The 20,470-nt window shown below is 44.5% G+C and overlaps 1 long non-coding RNA gene across 6 annotated transcripts in view, besides 1 other annotated feature; it reads left to right on the top strand.

The window, feature by feature from the left end:
- Positions 1-19,849, top strand: part of LINC02808 (long intergenic non-protein coding RNA 2808) — a 55,193-nt gene extending 35,344 nt beyond the window's left edge. For all 6 annotated transcript variants that reach the window (XR_947322.3, XR_947318.3, XR_947317.3 and 3 more), the window contains 3 exons: positions 1,663-1,851; positions 5,597-5,746; positions 19,192-19,849. This is a non-coding gene — a long non-coding RNA (long intergenic non-protein coding RNA 2808). The remainder of the gene's footprint in view (positions 1-1,662; positions 1,852-5,596; positions 5,747-19,191) is intronic.
- Positions 17,437-17,637: a silencer, noted in NCBI's record as "peak211 fragment used in MPRA reporter construct". NCBI's record gives its function as "represses an SCP1 promoter by STARR-seq MPRAs in K562 erythroleukemia cells {active_cell/tissue: K562}" and the evidence as "EXISTENCE:reporter gene assay evidence [ECO:0000049][PMID:32103011]".
- Positions 19,850-20,470: the final 621 nt, after the last annotated feature.

The raw sequence follows: 20,470 nt of genomic DNA, 5'->3' as shown, positions 1-20,470 counted from the left end.
CCCCACTTCTTCCTTTGGGTGGGATAACTCTGAGACAGGAGTCCTACACTGGCTCCCAGAGTTAGGTTCTAGTTACTCATGGAGGTAACTTGCTTGAAAAATGCATCTTTGTTGGTGCTTTCCCTACTCTATCTCACCTCTCAATGTCCCTTCAGTGTCAGTTGGGGTCATTTCCCAAATTCACTACCTGCACTTGAGTCCTTGCTTTAGAATCTGCTTCTGGGGAAACCCAAAGTAAGGCAATTCCTAAAATGCATCAGACCCTGTGTTTGGGACAGCTGAGCCAGATGAAGTGGGGATGGGGAGATGGGGAAGGAATTTCTAGCAGAGGGAACAGCATCTGCAAAGACACAGAAGTGAGCAAACTATGCTTGGCAAAGGGTGAGGAGAGCAATATGGCAGAGGCAGAGGGCTAACTGCCTTAAAATTCAAATTTAAGTTTGGCCATGATGTGGACAGGCTTAGGGAAGATCCCTCTGATGGCTGTGAAGAAGAGTCTGCTCAATCACCCCAATTTAAATATTTGAGGACTTGTTTGGCAAAGGATGGGGTGTCCATCTGCATTTTTTTCCTGGAAGTCCCCAACAATGTTCATTAGCTTGAGGATGGTTTTAACTAGTTGAACTTCATTAGAAAACACCAGTAATTGTTGACGAACCCCATTACAGCACCTAAAAGCTGTGAAGGCAGCTGAACAACTTCTGGAATTGGTACAGACAAGAGGCTCAGCTCAGTCCTAGGGAGCTCAGAAATGAGCTCTGCTCCCCACAGGGGTCAGCGGCAGAGCCTGGCCTCTTCCTCTCCCTAGACAAAGCTTTCCTTTTCTCATGTCCCTCCTCCCAAAGCATCCCTTCTACACACACACACACACACACACACACACACACACACACACACACACACGTTCTTCTCATGCCTCTGCAGTCGTTTTTGGATGCTTGCTCTCTTTGTCATCCACTTCAGCAAAAAGTCCCTGAGCTTGTACTCATGCAGGATTCTGTGCGAGGCCCCAGAGACCCACAGATGCCTCAGATGTAGGTCTGTGCCCCAGAGAATCTCCCACTCTGGACAAGGAGATAGATATGTACATTGAGAAGGGCAATGTGGTCAAGAAGATGTTTCAACAGAAATTCAGAGGGAGGGATGAATTAAATCTAGGGAAGAATTCATGGAAATCATTTTAACACCAGTGAAGTCAAGGTAGGGTTTTGAAGGATGCAGAAGTGTTGGGTACTGCTCTTCCTTGATCAGGCGTGTGCCTTCCTAAGAGGATGAGCATCAGACTCTGCCCAACTTTCAGCTTCTTCCTCTATCTCAGACCCCTCCACAGCCAGGTACATTTAGGCCCTCCCTGTCCTCAGCCACACTTTGAGTCTCACCCATCCTGGTGGGAAGCAGGAAGTGCCTGAGAGCCTTGGCCTGGGACCAGCACAACCCCTCCTCACCACTTTGCTTTTGAACTCCTGAGCTGGAGCTCCCCTCCCAACCTTGGGGCTTCTTTAGTTTCCCTAGGGAGACCCTTGCATTTCATGCTCTTTTACCTCATATGGCGCCTTTGCCTTAGTCCTCCATCCTGGGTGGATACAGTCTGAATTTCCCCTTCTAATTTGTGACTCTTACATGAGCCTCAGTCATAAAGTTCTCTTTGCCATTACTCCCAAGGTTCTTGGAGCCCCACTGTAGAAAGACTGCTGATATCCCAGAATTCCAAGGTGGATGTGCAGATGAGATTTCCAGTGACACCCAGCAGACTTCACGCAGAAGGTGGCATAGTGTAGAGACGGGGCATTCATGCTTTACCCTTAGAGAGGCGTTGCTTTGAATCTGCATCTGCCCCTTCTTTTGCCTTTGGTGAGTAACTAACCTCTCTGAGCATCATTCACCTCTTGTGTAAAATGGGGACATAATAACCTGCCTTACAATAGTAAGACATAATTACATAAAAGCCTAGGTTTAGTACCTCTCAGGGTGTGAGGAGGAAAAGATGGCCTCATGCCTCCCATCAACACCCAAATAGCTATCTACCTCTGGCCTGGAATCCTCCCTGCAGAGCTGGGGCATCCTATTTCACCTGCTTTATTCCTTTGCTGTCTCCCCCTCTAGATTATGAGATCCCTGATGGACTCCAAATCCATTATCTGATTTATTTTATATTTAGGATATGAGGTGGGTCCAGAGAGGTGGTGTGAGGGTCTCAGGGTCATACAGACAGGTAGAATCTGAGTGGGTCCTTGGACCTGGGTCTGGCTGAGTCCCTGCTCAAATATGTTAGAGCCTGGGAGATTCTGAAACATTCTGATAGACTATTCTGCAGATGCTGAATATTTCAATCAATCAACATGGTTCCAATCTCAGTTTCTCTCTACTAACATTCAAAATTTGCAAAAATTCAGAAGTTGTGAGTGGGCCTGAAATTTACCTTTGCATTTTCCATGAAAAGTCTTAGCAAAGGTAATTATTTCTGAAGAAAAAATGTGTGTGGGGATGTTTAATTTATGATAACTATATTAACATGATGTACCCATAGCAAAGATTAATACTCATTCTAAGCATGGCTTTGATGGGCAATAGAATATGCCACTTGTAGAGATGTGGGACAGAACATACTTACTTACTTTCATCCTGAAATTCCCTTTTTAATTTGTCAAACGGCTCTGAGCTCCTCCCCTACAGCCACACTAATTCTGACTGTTTCTTTTTCACGTGCTTTTATAATGGGAGAGCCCCCGGCCCCTGCCAGCCACTATGCCTTATTAATGTTGAAGATGAGGGCAGAGGGGTGAAAGGAAAGAGTCCTGAAGCCCAGTCCTAGATCCTCCACTGATTCTTTGTGTCCTTGGACAAGTTATTTAACCTTTCTGAGCGCTTGAGTGGCATTCAAATCTCTCTTTCTCCCAACTCCTTTTTCATGGCCTCAGATCTCATTTATATTCCACACATCCCTAAGCCTTCCAGCCAAATAGACTTACTTCCCATTCCAGGAACATGCCCCATGCTCTCTTCTGTCTTCACCAGGAATGTTTTCCTTTCTTTGCCATTAAAATCCCATGCATTTTTAAAGACTCAAATGAGAAACTTTTCCATTAAGTTTTTCTCCCAGTAGGCTGTGAGCCTCCCACTAGAATCACATTCTGCCTGGCACTAGAATTCTTGTAAACATATTTTTTCCATCACTAGATTGTAAGCTCCTTGAAGGTAGAGTCAATATCTTCTATAACCACTCAAATCCACATCGTAGACTCAGAATGTATGGCTGTAAGTGGAGGAGCTGGAATTCACAGTTGTGGGTTTGACTGCAAAGCCCCTATGTGATGGTTCATTTTATGTGTCAACTTGGCTGGCTGAGGGATACCCAGATGACTGGTAACACATTACTTCTTGTTGTGTTTGTGAGGGTGTTTCCAGAAGACGTAAACATTTGAATCAGTAGACGAGTAAAAAATATCTCCCTTATCAGTGTGGGCAGGCATCGTCCAATCCGCTGAGGGCCTGAATGGAAAAAAAAAAGGTGGAGGAAGGGCAAATTCACGCTCTCTACTTGAACTGGGACATCCTTTTTTTTTCTGCGTTTGGACTTCAGAGCTCCTCGTTCTGAGACCTTCAGACTCTGACTGAATCATACCACTGACATTCCTGGTTCTCTACCTTGCAGACAGCATATTGTGGGGCTTCCTGGCCTCTATAATCGTATGAGTTAATTCTCATAATAAATCCCCTGTTATCTATCTATTATCTATCTATCTATCTATCTATCATCTATCTATCTATCTATCTATCTATCTATCTATCATCTATCTATCTATCTATCTATCTATCTATCTATCTATCTATCTATCTATCTATCTAATTGGTTCTGTTTCTCTGGAAAATCCTGAATAATATAACTTGCTTCTACATCCTTATGGAATGGATGAAAGAACCTCAGTTTCCCTGGCTTCCAAATGCAAATAATGTTCTGTGCTTTGTGTTACCTGTAAGGGCAAATCATAAACTCTAAAGCTCTCTTCTTCCCAGGGGGTTGCAGGATGGCACTGGCTTTCTTGGACGAACAGCCTGGAAATTCAGCAGGAATTCAGTAGCAGATCTATTTTAGGGACTTCACCATGGAGCCCACTACTGGATCTTGGGGATGTTCAGGCTTGAGACTGACTATTTCCTATTTCTGGGCTTTGGGGGTGGGTGGGTCTCAGGCTAAGAGGGATTCTGAGCTGGCTCCCAGTCAGCCTTCTTAACATTTGGCATCCACTCTCCTAATCTCTTTGCTATCCAGTGTCTAGTCAAGAAACATTGGTTTAGTCCTACTATGTGTCATGCATTGGGCTATCCCTGGGAATACAAAGATTCAGCAGACACTCTCCTTGTCCTCCAGGAGAAGGTAAACATGTGAACAGACAATGGCAACCCAGGCAGACATGTGTTATAGTAGAGGGCAGCCCAGGGCTCGTAGTATCCCAGAGCAAGGATCATAGGAGATCTGAGAGATCACATTTCCTGCCTCTAGCTCTTTCTGGGCTGTGAATGACATTAACTCATTGTAAGATCTTAGATTACATTTCTTCTCTGGCCTTAGTTTTCTTTCTCTACACAGCAGGGCAGCTGGACTTAGTGGTGCTCCAGATCTTACCCCACATACTCACCTCTTGTGCTTATGCTGCTGGGCACCATGCAGTCCTCCTTGTACTCTCTGTGTTTCTCAAGAGGCAGAGGCCTCATCAGAGCTCCAAGTCACATCAGGCAGAAGCCTTGGCAGTGGAGCACAGGAAGGTTGAATCTGGGACTTCCATAGAGGTTCCAGGATTTCTTTTGGTATCTGCCAGTGTTGGACATGGCCAGGTCTGCTCTGGGCACATTGCCTACCTTCCAAGTCATGGGGGAGGCTGCTTCTTGTGATCATTTTACTAGGACCTGGGAGTGCAATGACAAGCAAAACCAGACACAGTTTGTAGCCTCATGGAGTTCACTCATGGAACTCTGGGTCCTCATGGAGTCTAGTTAAAGAGAAAGTATTAATAAAACAGGCACATAAATGAATGTATAATTATATCCTGGGGTAAGTGCTGGAGTGCTAAAAACATAGTCCTAGGAGAGCAAGTATAATGAGGATTGAAGAATAGGTTTAGCAGCATGAGGTCATTATTGAGAGTTGTTTTGTCAGGATGATGAGTCCAGAAGCCACATGGGAGTGAACCAAGGAGCAAGCTGGAGGTGAAGAATTGGAGGTGGTCAGTGTAGATAACTCTCAACCAGTGAGCACTGAAAGGGCTGGGAGGAATCTTTGAGGTCTTCCATGGCAAGCACTTTAAAAAAGATTACAAAGAGATTCACAGACATCATCTTTTGTATTCTTTAGAACAATCTTGTGACATGGGAGGGTCAGGTTTTATTTCCACTTGACGTATGAAAAAACGGAAATCCAGAAAGATTTTTGTCTTGAGTAGAGAGTTCACAGCAGAGCCAGGACTGAAACTGAAGTTTCCGGAATCCCTGCCCTCCTTCCACTTTCCAAACAAAATGCCATCTGTCTGGAGGTTATTTGAATGAATAAGGACTGTATTCACCACACCCAAGTTTTCTTGATTACATTTTCTCTCCTCAGCCCCTACAGATTCAGGACCACGGCCAGCACCCACACTGCCTTCCGTAAACACTGAGCTAAATAAACCTAGAGCCTTGGTGATGAGATCAGCACTGCCTTTGTAAGTTGGTTTTCTCAACAAACATCAACTGAACATCTACTAAACGTAAGGTGAGATGACAGGTTCTGGGGACATGGAACTAGAAAACTGCCCGTAAGGAGCCCACAGTCTAGGATGGACAAAGCATGGACACAGAGTGTGAGAATGTGCACAGGGGTTGTGGGATCCTAAAGGAGAGTGAGGGTCAAAGAAGGCTTCCTGGAGGAGACACAGCCTGAGGTGAATCTTGAAGACAGAAGATGGCAGTGAGGAGCTACTGAGGGGTTTTAAGCGGGGGTGTGACAAGGTCACGTGTGTTTTAGAGAGATTTCTGGTGTAATGTGAGAATAGAGGAGGGGTGAGAGAAGAGATAGGGAATGACTCAGGAGACTGAATAAGAAGAAGTCTCCCAAAGCACATTTAAAAAGGCATAGCCAGGTTTTAATCTTGCTTGCAAAAGCAGATGGAAATATTCTGTGTTTTATATGTTTTCTTTTGGCATTGGAAAGTTTCACTTTCTTGACCAGCAGAAGCTGATACTGAGGGAATTATATTGCTGGTGGGCAGGAGGAAAATGAAATGCAGAGAAACAGGGAAGGAGGAGAATCTGATTTGTTGAGCTGTTGTTACGCATCAGCACTATGCTAAGTGCTTTTTACATAGTCTCATTTAATTCTCCCAACAACCTGTGAAGTAATGAGGTCTTCATATTTTATAACAAGAAACTGAGGATTAGAGAGGTTAATTACCTGTGGCCCATGGCCAAACACACAAATAAAAGGAAGAGGCAGGATTTGAACCCGGGTCTGCATGGTTCCAAATGCCTCACATTCCCTTCTTATGCATATGTGGTCTCAGTGGAGAATGTGGTGGAGACCTAGCTGACAGAAAAGCAGAGTAAAGCCCCTGGGCACCTACCCCTGCAGCCTTCTTGTTCACACACAAAGGAGTAATCACAATAAGCATTCTTTCCTCAGCTTCTAAGTGCAGGAGCTTTAGAAGGTTACAAATGGACTCAGTATGTGTGACATAGTCACTCCTAGGCGAGGTGGGTTTTACTTGCTTCTTACCACCCCATGATATCACATCTTGCAGAAGAGAGTGCTTCTGTGTTCAGGGACAAGAAGATAAGAGGTTTCATGTCGGTGCCAATTACCTTCTTTGACACCCCTGAGGTGCCCTTGGCCCCCAAATTTTGGAGACTGCGTCATTCTCTCTGGGCCTTTTGTGGCGGCTATGACAGCGTCTGCCGCAGAGCCTAAGGAAGCTTTATGGAGATGGTCACACTCCAGTGCCCAGCCCACTTGTTGGAACTTTCCAGAAATATTGCACTGCAGACATTTTCCACGCTGTTATGCTAATGGAATCAGGAAAAATCAATTGTCCTTAAGGAACAGGGGAATGAGACGTGCTGTAAATGCCACGGAATGAGTGATTGGTTGATTGCTTGCCCGCGATCGGAGCTTGTCTCATCCCTACATTATTCTGATGAATTTTTATGGCATGCCTCCTTTCTTGCTTGCTCCCTCTCCCCACCCCCCTTCCCCCCTTAGCTGGGGAAGAAGGTTTATGGCTTGCAGCTTCTCAGTTGATTGAATGCAGCTGGCATTGTTGCAGCAGAGGACAAATAGGTACATTTGCTTTACAGGCTGAGAAAAGTGGGTTTGGAGAAATTGCACAGCCACGTCCCTCTGCAACAAAGTCGCCCTTAAAAATGCAGATATTTTTAATGAAATGACTTTACTCTCCTTCCAGGCTGTCCCTAATCTTTCTGTTAGAGGAAAGGGCAAAAAAAAAAAAAAAAAAAAAAAGTTGGGGAAAAGAAATGTATAGCTTGTGATTCTGCGGAAATCCGATTTTTCATTCTTATCACAAAGGACGCTAACGAAAGCATTTCATTAGTATTCATTTTAGGCCAATGTGATTTTCTCCTTTTTGCTAACACAAAAATAAATAAATAAACAGTCGAGCTATGTCTGGGAAACTGCCGACAAGGCGGCTTGGAGCAGAGGTCAGCATTTTCTTGAATGAGTGTGCACCGCATTCAGTAAGGTGGCCAAGAAAATGGATCCAGCTCAAATAAGGGCCATCTGGGGCAGGGATGAGACAAGGTTTGGGATGGAGACAGGTCCCTTGGGTTTCCAAGCTGGTGTCCAGCTTGGCCATGGCAGTTTGTGGACTGGAGAAGGCAAACAGGCTGTGACTGCTGTTTTCCATGGGGAGTTAGCTGCAGCTGATACTCTCTGTGCCTGGCTGCTGGTTCTGAGGATGGGGATGCTTCAGTCCTGGCCAGGGCACTAGGCAACTCCTATTGTTCTTCTTTCCTGTCTCTTCCTCAAGGGCAACTAAGCCCTGTTGAGGGTTGGGAAATCCTACTAGGTGAAAATCTGGGAGTGTTTGGCTGGAAAGAGGAGATTTGGGGACACAGCTGTTGTCTTCATCCATCCAAGGGAGTATTGTGAACGAAGAAGCAGGCTTATTGTATTGGACTTCAGAGGGCTAAACTAGCCTCAGTAGGTGGAAGTGACAGCATGGCAGAGAAATCCATCAGATTTGAGATCAAATTTCAGATCAAGCATTTTCTGAAGGTGTCCGCAGACAAGTCTCTGAGCCTCAGTGACCACATTTTTAAAAGGAAGTAAATGAAAATAAACCCCAATGTATTCTTTCCAGGCTACTGGAAAGTACAGTAACTTGGAAGTTACTGTGCTAGGAAGTGGCTCTCAGTGACCCCTTTGTAGAGAAGGGAAACCCAGATTCAGAGGGGGTAAGTAGCACAACCTCTGGGAAACAGGCCCCTAGACTCCGAGGCCAGAGCCCTTTGCCTGCCCCAGCCAAGGGCATCCTTGTTCAGCTACTTCTCAGGACTGCTGTATGGAAGAGGTGAGTGAGATACACAAGCAGAACACTGTTTGTTCTTGGATAAAAATTCTTACCCAGTTCACCTCAAAAATCAAGTCATCTGACATATTTCCATCTCTCTGGGGCTGTACACTCCTGGAGGCCAGTGTCCCTTTGTACTCTCTGTGCTTAATTCAGATGTTTCAGCAATTCATGACTTGCCTTAACATGCTGTGTCTTTTGATACTTCCTGGCCCTGGCCTATGCTACTGTCCCTGCGTGGAACATTCTCCCCTGCCTTTTTCATTTGGCTGAGTCTCACCCATCCTTCAACTCAGATTCTACAGCTTCTGAGGAAACTTCCTTGACATCCCACACAGGCCTGTTATTCTCTCTGCTCTTGTTGGGTCACTGTGTAGTTGTTTATAGAACCATAATGATACTATTAATAGTAACACAATGAGCAGTGGGAATCTTGGTGTCAGGCTGACCTGAGTTCAAATCTTGACACTGCTGTGTAATCATGAATGAGTTACCTAAACTCTCTGAGCCTCCCTTTCCTTATTGGTCAATGGTGATAGTTATAATAATGGTACCTATTCCAAAAGGCTATTTGGAGAATTCAATAAGAAATATTTGTAAAGTACTTTCTCAGTGCTTGGCACATACAAGACCTCAGGCAATTCAAAATGAATGACTGAATACAGTTTCTTTTAGGTTGGCTAGAAATATTGATAGAGGTGACCAAGGACACATTTGTTTTTCCGTTCCCTCACTCCTCTTGTCCATTTTCCCCTGGCCTTATTCCTTCCTGCCTGTGCCATTAATGATAATTAACACCCACAGTGTGCCAGGCAGTTAGTGGCAGACCCAGCATAGAACTAGGGTTTCTGAGGCTCTAGTCTAGGACTCTTTTTCATCGTCCCTCTCCCAATCAGGTAGCTTCTCAAGGCAGGTGTCGCATCTTTTTCACCTGTCTCCCCTGCTGTGCCTCCCACAGGTTAGGCCCCACTGTAGGTGGTCTGTGAAGTCTGTGAAGGGCCGGGGTTGTGGGCTCACTGGCAGGGGGATCTGGAGCCCAGTTCAATTTCTGCCTGCCTGTGTGACCCCGAGGCCATCAGTTTTCTCATCTATCAGGGAGTGGCACTACTTCCTGCCAGACCTGCTGCACTGGGCTATTGTTAATAAGAGAGGAAGAGGAGGGGGCTTTGTCAGCTCTCATGCGTGGTAGGGGTTGAAGCTATTGCTGCTGTTTCTGTGTCCTTGTTGTTGTTATTGCCTCTCAAAATAAAAAAATTCCTCATAGCCAGGGTTCTGGAGCCAGTCTGTTAGAGGAGATGGCTCTGCCCTTGAAAGCCACTCTCCCGGTCTGGCGTTTCCTGTGAGTAATTTGAAACTGGGGCTCAGGGAACTGAACTCCAGTTAATGGTTTTCAATAAAGAATTAAGTGCTGCTTGTCAGGCTGGTGCTGGGGCCTGGCTTCCCGGAAAGGGGGAGAGTGCTGGGGGGTGGGGAGCAGTTGCATGCGTTTAGGGATGCGTTTACATTTTCCGGTCAGTTAGGCAGCCTGATGAAAAAGGGATAAGATCTGGCCACAGCAGCCAGAGGGCGGAGGTGGTGGTGGTGGGTGGGGCGGGCAAGAGAGACTGAGACCCCGCACTGGGGAGGCTGCAGGGAGGGAGTAGTGGTCATTGCCATTAGAGCTGATCAGCTGTTTCTACAAAAAGCCTGTTAGGCACCTGGCTCTTGCCCCCTTCCCTCGGGGCAGCCCCTGTGGGAAGGAATGCTGAAGCTTTTTCTGCTAGTGCTGCCTTCCACATCAGACATCACCTTTATAATAACCACAGCTCTCCTTACATGATTTCTGCATAAAATAGTTCTTTAAAGCCTCATCCACAGCCCTAAAAAGTTGCTATTACTTTCATCACTCTTGTTTTTCAGATAAGGACATTGAGGTACAGAGAAGTTAAGTAACCTGCCCAAGGTTACACAGCTTCTGGAGTAGGAGATCAGGGCTTCAAACCTAGGTAGTCTGGCACCAACATTATGCTGTTTAGCCACTCTGTGGTATTGCCTGTCATAGGGTCTTGAATCACTTTTTCTCCAGCCTACGAGGTTGGCAGAGGAGGGTCATTCACTCCATCTCATAGATGAGGAGACAGGGTCCGGGGGTTGTTGTGCCTCTGCCAGGGGGACCAGAGAGAGGGAGAGGTAAATCAGGCACCCAGACACGGGGGAGAAGGAGAAAGGCCCCACAAGAAAGGTATTTGGTAGCAAGTATCAAAAGACTTAAAAATGTTCATACCTTTTGTGTTAGTATTTCTGTTTCTGGGCGTCTGCTCTAAGGAAATAATCTTTCCAAAATAAGACAATTCTAAATAAAAGAAAAGATTGATTATTTATAATATCAAATGATTGGAAGCAATTTAAGTACCTAACCATTGGAAATGGTTGAATAAAATCCGGTGTTTACACTCAATTTGACAGTCTGTAGCCATGAAAAATAATGGTTCTGAAGGCAACATAGTAATCTGAAAGAATGCTTATGATATAATGTTAAATAAGGAGAAAAGTAAAAACCAAATTGTATGAATAATAAAATCTCAAGTATGTACCAAACATGCAGGAGATAAGCAAAATAATAGTTGCTGTGTTGGGATGATGAAATTGTAAGTTCTTTTACTTTGTTTCCAACTTTCTGTAATGTGTTGCTTCAAGAATAGACAAATTGATGGACTTGGTCCAGAATATTGTTGTATGACCTAGGAAAAGCTACATCTCTCTATGCTTCAGTTTCCTAATCAGTAAATATGGATAAATCCTCCTTTTTCCAGGATTGCTATGTTTAATGAGATAATAGAAATAATGTACCTAGCAGGAGGCCTCTGCGTAGTAGGTGACTAGATGATGTCAATTACTACCCTGAGCTTTATTCTGTTTCTCACATGTTGTCTTCTGTCTTATTGATATTTGCACAGTGAGGCTGGTATAGCCAGGCCCAAACCTGTATCCCAGATATGAGGGCTTCCCAGAGTCAGGCACAGACATATCACTCCTCCACTGCCTTACATCTGCCAAAAGAATGAAGGCCAGATCCTCCAAGGAGAGTCAGCTGGACCTCAAACCCCTAGGCAGCTGCTGAGATTGACTTTCCCCGAGGGTGTCTCTGAGAAACACACACCACTAAGCCGGCCTTCTTTTCTGAGAACTTCTGGTGGGGCATAGAGACTTGTGTGGTTCTGATGCTGCGTGCTGGGGGACCCATAGGCCATCAATTTTCTCATTCATTTGTTCATTCATTACTCATTCACTGCATCATGTAGAGAGTCAGCTATAGCAGAGCCTTATTGAATGTTGACTCCATACCCACTGGGTGTAGGGGTGGGGGTTTGTACAGTGGGCTTTCACTTACCTTAGCTTATTGAATCCTCACATTTGCATTGCAGAAGAGGTTCACTTAGCTAAGCATGGCAATTTTAAAAAGCAAGATACAAATGAATGTCTCTCCTCACATAGTCAGTCAGTTAGTTCCCTGGCCCTGTCAACTCTGTCTTAGCTTCTCAGACCTAATCCTTCTGCTTCAGCCCCCAGCTTGTCACTCTTTTTGCCAGAGTCATCTTTATAAAACCCAAACCTGACCTTAGGAGAACATCCCTGCTCAGCCTGTAAAAACCAGTTTCTTTTGGTCTGATCTCCCACAATCTACCCCAACACACAGCCACTTCTCCTGCGCCTCAATGCCCCTTTATGGCCTATGCTTCATACACTCTTCCTACTTTCTAGACTGCCCTTTCCTACATGACAGACTCTAACCCATCCTCTAAAACCTAGCTCAACACCCCCTCCTTTTTGGCTCCCATAAAGGATTTTCTGCTCCCCTTCTTTGCCCATCTCTCACTGTACTGCAATAACTTCCAAGTCTGTTCTTCCACTCCAGAACCGTGCATTCCTCAAGGGCAGAGACCATGCCTTTTTATTTTTGTGTCCCCAGAGCTTAGCTCAGAGCCTGGCACAAGCAGAGGCCCAATGAGTGTTTGCTGAGTGAATTATGAATGACAGTGTGATCTCAGGGCCTCCACTAGGGAGGAGCAACAGGGCTCTTTGACCTCTTGGGAATGGGAAGTGTTCTCAGCTGAATTCTCTTGGCAGACACTTTCCAGCATCACCAGCTGCTCACTCCCCAAAGGCCCTGTCTCTGCTCAGCCCCCTGGCTGATATGAGAACATTTGGCCATAAACCTGGCTAGTGGGATTGCAGCCAGCACCTTGCAGAGCCTGCATCCTGGCAAAGACTTGACCTGAACAGCTGGGCATGCATGAATGCTTATGGTCTGGCCCTGCCACATCTCAGCCCCATGCCATGCCTCTATGCCCCCTCATGCTCCAGGCTACAGCACTACTGAAAAGTTTCCTGAAGGCATCTTGTGATTTCACTTTTCTTTATAGTTCCTTCTGCCTGGGATGTTCTCCATCTGCCCACCCTTCCATCTTTGCTTAGTGAATTCCTACTTGTTCTTCTTCTTGGTTCAGGTGTCACCTCTCTTCTGGGCAAGGAGCCTGCCCTGAGCACCTCCCAGTCTCTGGGGGCACCTCCATCATTATACTGTTCACACTGTGTTGTCATTATCTGTTTATTTTCCCAACAAGTCTGTGGGCTCCCTGAAGGCAGACACTTGGTTTAATTCACTTTGGTGTCCCTAGTACCTTGATCACGGTAGCTGCTGACAAATATGTGCTGCATGGGTGAATGGTTGGATGGATATGTGGGTAAATTGTGCTAAGACCCTTCCCTATTGCTCTGAGTCAAATAGTGGTACACTGTCCATGAAGGGGACCTGAGAATGCTCCCCAGTGCAGCAGTGGGTTGGAGAGAAGCCTGAGCTTCAGGACCAGCTCTGCTTCAAACTGGTTCTGAGTTCTCTCTTCACCTGTCTAAATTTGTTTCCTGACCTCTTAAATGGGAATAACAACCCTTGCTCATCATACCTAGTAGAGTAGTTGTGAGGATCAAGTTAAACAATGTCTCTGAAATTATTTTGTAAACTGTGAAGTGCTGTGTTTTTACTCTCTGTGGGGGAAAGTTCAGTGCTGTCAGGTGGCAATGCCCACTAGGGGGAGTGGCAGAGCAGGCCAGGCCCTTATATTGGAGACATGGGGACAGTGGATGCCAGCTCTGGGCTAGAACTCAGGCTGGCCCAGAAAGAGGGGATGCAGGGTCCAGGACGCTTCATGTTGAGGTCCCTGGCTCCCCTCTCCTCAGCACTTCTCTCCAGGTTTAAAGAGCAAGCTGGGCTATCTTTGAATTGCTAGAGGAGAAGGAAATTAGAAAAAGAAAACCCGGCCTGATGGCAAGGGGGCAGCCCTAACACTGCCTTATTGTGGGGGTGGGAGGTGGGAGCGGGAGATAGCTATGGGCAGGCAGAAAGTGTAGGACTTCAGCTTCTTTCCTTTAGGCACTGCTTTCTGTGACTAGCTCAAAAGCCTGGATTTCAGGGCTCTGAGGCCATTGTCTGACTGGTATAGGGCATATCTACTGGCTTATGGAATGCCACCTTATTGGGACAGGGTCTGGGTTTGCACATACCTTTCTCCATGGGTGCTTGAAATCTGCAGGCTTGGCCTACAGTTGATTAGCATCCTCTTTGCTGGGGCGGAGGGGACCAGACAAGGAGAACAGCTGGAGGAGAGCTCTGTAACCCAATTTGCTGTGCAGAGAAGCCAGTCTGTCTGGCAAGAGCTAATTGGAAAGCTGCTTCCTCTAAGCCTGGACCCAGGAGGGCCTTAGGCCTGGCTGGGCGGGGCCCCTTGGCTAGTCCAACATCACTTAGTGCTTTGTGGGAGCCACTCCCAGCAGGACAGCACTTAGCTCTGGTAATTGGCCAAGCAGGCTTATCATTAATTCATGCCAAATTGTATTTCTTCTTTTGAGAAGGGCAGGGGGTGGGGGGCGGGGGGCGGGGTGGTGGTGCAGGGGGGTAGGGGGTGGTGGGAGATAGAGATAGAGAGAGAGAGAGAGAGAGAGAGAGAGAGGAAGAGTAGAAGTAGGTGGGAATAAATGAGTTTCTGAAGTGAAGAGTCTATTTAAGGGCTTGGTTGAAGCAGCTTCTTCTTAGGATTGGGAAGACTGAGGATTCATTTGCTAATTTACTGTTGACCTGAGCAAGTCACTTTTCCTCAGGTGGTCCTAGTTTCCTAATCTGTGGTAGGAGACAATAACCTGTGATCTGTCTATCTCAGAGGATGGCTTTGAGGGCTGAATCCAGATAATGAGGGATGAGTACTTTTCAGAAGTTCATTTCAACAGGCTAAGGGAGACGGAAGCCATTTACATTTAATGTAATTATTGATGTGGTTAGGTTTCAGTCTATCATTTTTTGGGCAGTAGCTTTTGGATAGTTTTTTAAGTGACTCTTATTTTATTTCTTTTGTTGTCTTATCAGCTCCTTGGTGTGTAATTTTAATGGTTACCTTAGGGTTTATAGTATACATCTTTAACATTGCAGTCTGCTTTCAAGCGTTGTTGCAGCACTTCACATGTAGTATAAAACCTTAAAATAGTGTACCTCCCTTTTTTCCTCCTTGCCTTTATGCTAATTTAGTCATACATTTTACTTGTAAACTTCATAAAACATTGTTATTATTTTCATTTAAACAATCAACTATCCTTTAAAGAGATTTAAATCATATTTTTAAAATCTTATAAATCTGGTATTCTTCATTCCATTGTGAGGATTTATATTTCCATTTGGTTTCATTTTCCTTCTGACTGAAGGACTTCCTTCAATTTTTTTATAGTGCTATTCTGCTGGTGGTGAATTATTTTGGCTTTTATATGTCAGAAAAAGAGTTATTTTGTCTTCACCTTTGAAAGATATTTTCATTGGGTATAAGATTCTAGGTTGAGCAGATTTCTTTTTATACTTTAAAGATGCTGCTCCATTGTCTCCTGGCTTCATTATTTCTCTTTAGAACTCCTTTTTCACCTTATCTTTGTTTCTCTTTTTATAACATTTCTTTTCTCTATGACTGCTTTTAAGATTTTTCTTTTATTACAGATTTTGAGAAATTGGATTGTGATGTGCCTTGGGGTAATTTTCTTAATTTTTCTTGTATTTGGGGTTCATTGAGCTTCTTGCATCTATGAGTTTATAGTTCTCATCAAAGTTGGAAAAATTTGCGGCCATTATTTCTTCAAATAATTTTTCTGCATCGCTACTCCTTCAGGGACTGCCATTATACATATATTAGGTTTCTTGAGGTTGTCCTGTAGATCACTGATGTTCTTTTCATTTTAAAATTTCTTTTTTTCCTGTGTCTCATTTTGAATAGTTTCGATTTTTTTCAACTTTACTATTTTTTTGCAAGGTCTAGTCTGTCTTTAATTTACTCCATTGAATTTTTCTCTCAGACATTGCAGTTTTCACTTCTGGAAGTTTAATTTTGATCCTTATTTATGTCTTCCATGACTCTACTTAATTTTTTCAACAGAGAGAATACAGTCATAACTATTTATTGTCTATATTTCCTAATTCTAATATCTGTGTCAGTTCCTAATGAATATGCGTCTTCTCAATGTGGGTCCTATTTTTCTGCATTTTTACATGCTTTGTAGTTTTTGACTGAATTCCAGACATTGTGAATTTTACCTTGTTTGGAGCTGGATATTTTTATATTTCTTTAAGTATTCTTGAGATTTGTTCTGGGATGCAGTTAAGTTACTTGGAAACATTTTGATCCTTTTGGGTCTTTATTTTAAGATCTGTTAGGCAGGATCAGAGCAGCTTGTGGTCTAGAGCAAATTATTCCCCATAACTAAGAGAAGATTCTTCTGAGTGCTCTACCCAATGCCCTGCGAATTATGATTTTTTTTTCAAGTTGGCTGGTAGGAACAGATACTGTTTCTGATCCTGTGTGAGTACTGGACTCTGACGGGTCTTTCCCTGGCCTCATGTAGTTTCTTCACACATATGCACTCATTGTTCACTGGGAAACTGTCACAGATTTCTAGAATTCTCTCTTTGTGCAGTGCTGTCTTTCTCTCCAGTACCCTTTCCTGTGAACTCTAGTAGTTTTGCTCTCCTGGGACTCTCAGCTCTGACTCTACTATTCAGGGAGTCCACCAGATCCTCCCTCCCTGTGCTGAGGCATGGAAATTCTCAAGCAGTAAGTTGGGGGCAATGGTAGGGCCCACCTTGCTTGTTTCTCAAAGATGACTATTGTTCTTTGAGAAACAATACAAACCATTGTTGCTTCATATCCACTGTTTTAAAAACCATTGTTTTATATATTTTGTCTGTTTTTTTGGGGGGAGTGGGGTTGTTTTACATGAGAAGGCAAACCCTACCCTTGTTACCACCTTGCCTACAAGCGGAATTTCACAAAGAGGCAGGAAATGAGGATCTTTTAAATAAAGTATGCTCCTATACCTAAGTCTTGATGGTGTGGGATTCCCAGGGCTGGTTACAGTAAGGTTTGATAGAGTGGAGGACAGCAATAAAGAGGCCAAGGTCCTAAGTCCTGGAATTTGTCCCTGATTATCCTGCTACTTATAATTTTTAGAACAGAGTCCAAAATTTCTATCATATTGTTCAGGATTCTTCCTAATGCAGGCACTTCCAGAAGGGCTCCCCAGAGACAATAAATAATGAATATCACAAATAATAAATTATATAGTATGTTGGTATGTAATAAGTGGTATTGCCTATGAAAGTCATCACCACTGTGCCTGACACATGGTAGGTAGCTAAGAACTCTTTCTAAGAAAGCCAAAGAAGATTTCTTCATATTGGGAAGCCAATGGGAGCCAAGTCTTGAAGTATGATGAGAAATTCAGCAGGTACAACAAGGAGCAGTATCTGGCATAGGAATAAACAAGATTAAAGTTTGGAGATGGGGGATATGTTTGGGAAATGGCCACGGTCCTGTCCCTGACAAACCCACACAGTTGCTATGGAGCGAATGCATCAAGCTTTCAGGGCTGGCAGATGGAAGTTGTGTCAGTACCACGGAGAGCTCCAAACCTCAAAGGAGAGCCTGGCTGCTCACCAGCTGATTTACCTGGTCAACTCAATCCCAAACCAGAGTGACTCTGTCCAAAATTCAGACAAGGCTGATATCTACTTTTTTTTTTTTTTTTTTGAAATGGAGTCTCGCTCTGTCGCCCAGGCTGGAGTGCTGTGGCACAATCTCAGCTCACTGCAACTTCCGCCTCCCGGGTTCAACGATTCTCCTGCCTCAGCCTTCCGAGGAACTGGGATTACAGGCATGTGCTGCCATGCCTGGCTAATTTTTGTGTTTTTAGTAGAGAGAGGTTTCACCACGTTGGCCAGGCTGATCTTGAACTCCTGACCTCAAGTGATCCACCTGCCTCAGCCTCCCAAAGTGCTGGAATTAAAGGCATGAGCCACTGCACCCAGCCCAGGTAAGGCTGATATCTGAATTTGACTTCAGAATTGGAAGCTAGTCCTTTCCCAACGTACATCTCTTGCTGTTGGAGTAGTTGGCAGAATCTTGTTGCACTGAAATCTTTGGACTAACTGTTATCTGAAGATCTGGGTTTGAATCCTAGTTCTACCTCTAACTAGCTGTGTAGCTTTAGATGGATGAGTTATTTTCTCATCCGTAAAGTGAGAAAAATGATACTTATCTGATAGTGGTGTTGTGAGGACTAAGTAGGAAAGAGCTAGTAAAGCAAACACAGAAACATAGAAGATACCTTGAAATACTTTGCTATGGGGTGAGTGAAACCTTTAGCAATGTTAGACCCTCTCTGGAGGTGATGCATAGGATTTCAGAGTTGATAAGGGAGAAAGGACATTCTAGGCAGAAAAAACAGCAGGAGCAAAGGCAGGAAGGCATGAAAGTGAATGACTTGGCCAGGAAATAGAGAGTAGTTTAATGAGACTGAAGCTATTCGGGTGCCACTTTTATTCTGAGGCCGCCTGAACCACTATTTTCAGCACAGAGCACTCCCTTGAACTCCTGACTTTATTTCCAGCTAGTCTATTGTGTATCCCTGTTGAAAGTTCTACATGCACCTCTAACTCACCTTTCCAAAACAGAATTCATCTCTTTCCTCCAACATGCTGTCTTCAGATAGCATGTCAGAAGGAAGAAGTGTGACTTATGAAAGGCCTTAAATTGGGTGAAAGTTGTCTTAAAGAATATGGTGACCTTATTCTCCTTTCCAACTAAGAGCAGAAAATGAGACTGGCTTAACCTAAAGCATGAGATAATTGGGTTAGAGAAAGGAAGGACTTCCAATGTTGTAAATTGTAGGGAACTCAGAAGGGCTGACCAAAAGAGGTTGTGCAATTCTCCTCCCTGAAGAAGAGGGGACATTATCATCTAGCTAAGATATTTTTCCTCATCATCACTATTTAGTAACTATTACAATAATTGAATTATTAATATTCTTTTAACAACAGTTTATATTTGTATAGAACTTTACAGCTTATAAAAGGTCTAATTCGATCTTAATTGCCACCCTATGAGGTTATCAAGATAAGGATGATTAACTCATTGCCCCTCTGCCCTCATTTTATACATGGAGAAACTGAAACTGCAAGCCACAGAAATGATGCAATTGGCAAGAAATCAAGTGGTGCAGCCAGGAACAAAACTATGTCTCACAGCTCGCATCCAGACCTATACTCTTTTTTTTTGTTTTCCAATAGAGCACTCTGGCTGTCAACTGAAAACAGCAGCAGCAGCAGCAGCAGCAGCAACACCACCACCAACAACAACGACAACTGTTGCATATATAACTGAAGATCCACAGAGTCCCTCTTTCCAGTGTTAGTTGCTACAAGGAGTGAGAGAATGAAGATCTGACCTCAAGGAATACAAGAGTTTTGTTCAAAGTTCCAAGACTAAGCTATTAGAAGGGAGGGAGGGCCTGGTGCCATGTCATCTCTGACCAAGAGAATTGGTAGAATAGAAATAATCTATTTCTCACGTGGTCTAGGACTTGACAATTTACATAGCAGTTTTATATCCTCTACTTCATTTGACATGCTCCCATCACCCTGTGAAGCATGTGTCATTGTTACCACTCACTTTCCAGATAAGGAGAGATGGGGAGGCTCAGGGAGGTGAATGGATTTGCCTGAGGCCACTGGTCAGTGACTGAGCTGGGATAGGAATTACTTTCTCTGGTCTCTTGATCTCACCTCTTTGTCTCACTCTTTCTGCTGCATCTCAGTTGCTTCTGCGTCTGGCCAGACCCAAAAACAAATCATGTAATTGAGTTGGAATGTGGGTGCTGGGGCCCGGGAGACAATGTTTTCTGCTTTTCAATCTGTTCTTAATTTATTAAAGTGATGAAATAAGGAAGAGGCCCAGAAGGGTGGATGTTTTCCATCAGTGAGTCAGGGGAACATGCAGAGGCAGAAGGTCAGGAGGAAGCTGCTGTTGCTCCAGCAGCTTCACCCACTCTGGCCAAGTCCCCACAGATGTGCTGGTGGGGGAGACCTTCTTAGAGCTGCCCCAAGAGTAAAATAAACCAGAAAAGAGCAAGCCCTACTGGAGACTCTCTCCCTCCCCACAATGTTATCTCTGACTACCCGAGCACCTTCCCTCTTATCTGACAAATGTCCATTGTCTAAGGGAGAGACCGAGTGAAGGCAGGAGGAGGCCTAATTCAGCCTGAGGAGGGTCAGGAAAGGCTTTCTAGAGAAGGTGACACTGGCACCTTAGACTTGAAAGCTGAAAAGAAGTGATCTGGGAAAGGGGGATGAGGAGGAGAAAGTGTTTTCCAGGTGGAGGAAATAGCAGGTGGGAGGTTTGGAGATAAGAGAGGGAATGGCTGGAGCCATCAGGGTGGAGAGATGAGGCTGGACCGGCAGAGGGGTTGGCAGTGCTGGTATCCAGAGGGCCTTCCAGGTCAGGTTGTTATATCTCCTCTGAGGAAGAGTCCTGATTGTTAGCTCAATTTATGTGGTTAGGCATAGAGAA

Source organism: Homo sapiens, chromosome 1, assembly GCF_000001405.40.
Source record: "Homo sapiens chromosome 1, GRCh38.p14 Primary Assembly".
Taxonomy (NCBI): Eukaryota; Metazoa; Chordata; class Mammalia; order Primates; family Hominidae; genus Homo; species Homo sapiens.
This window is presented reverse-complemented; position numbering and strand designations above follow the sequence as displayed.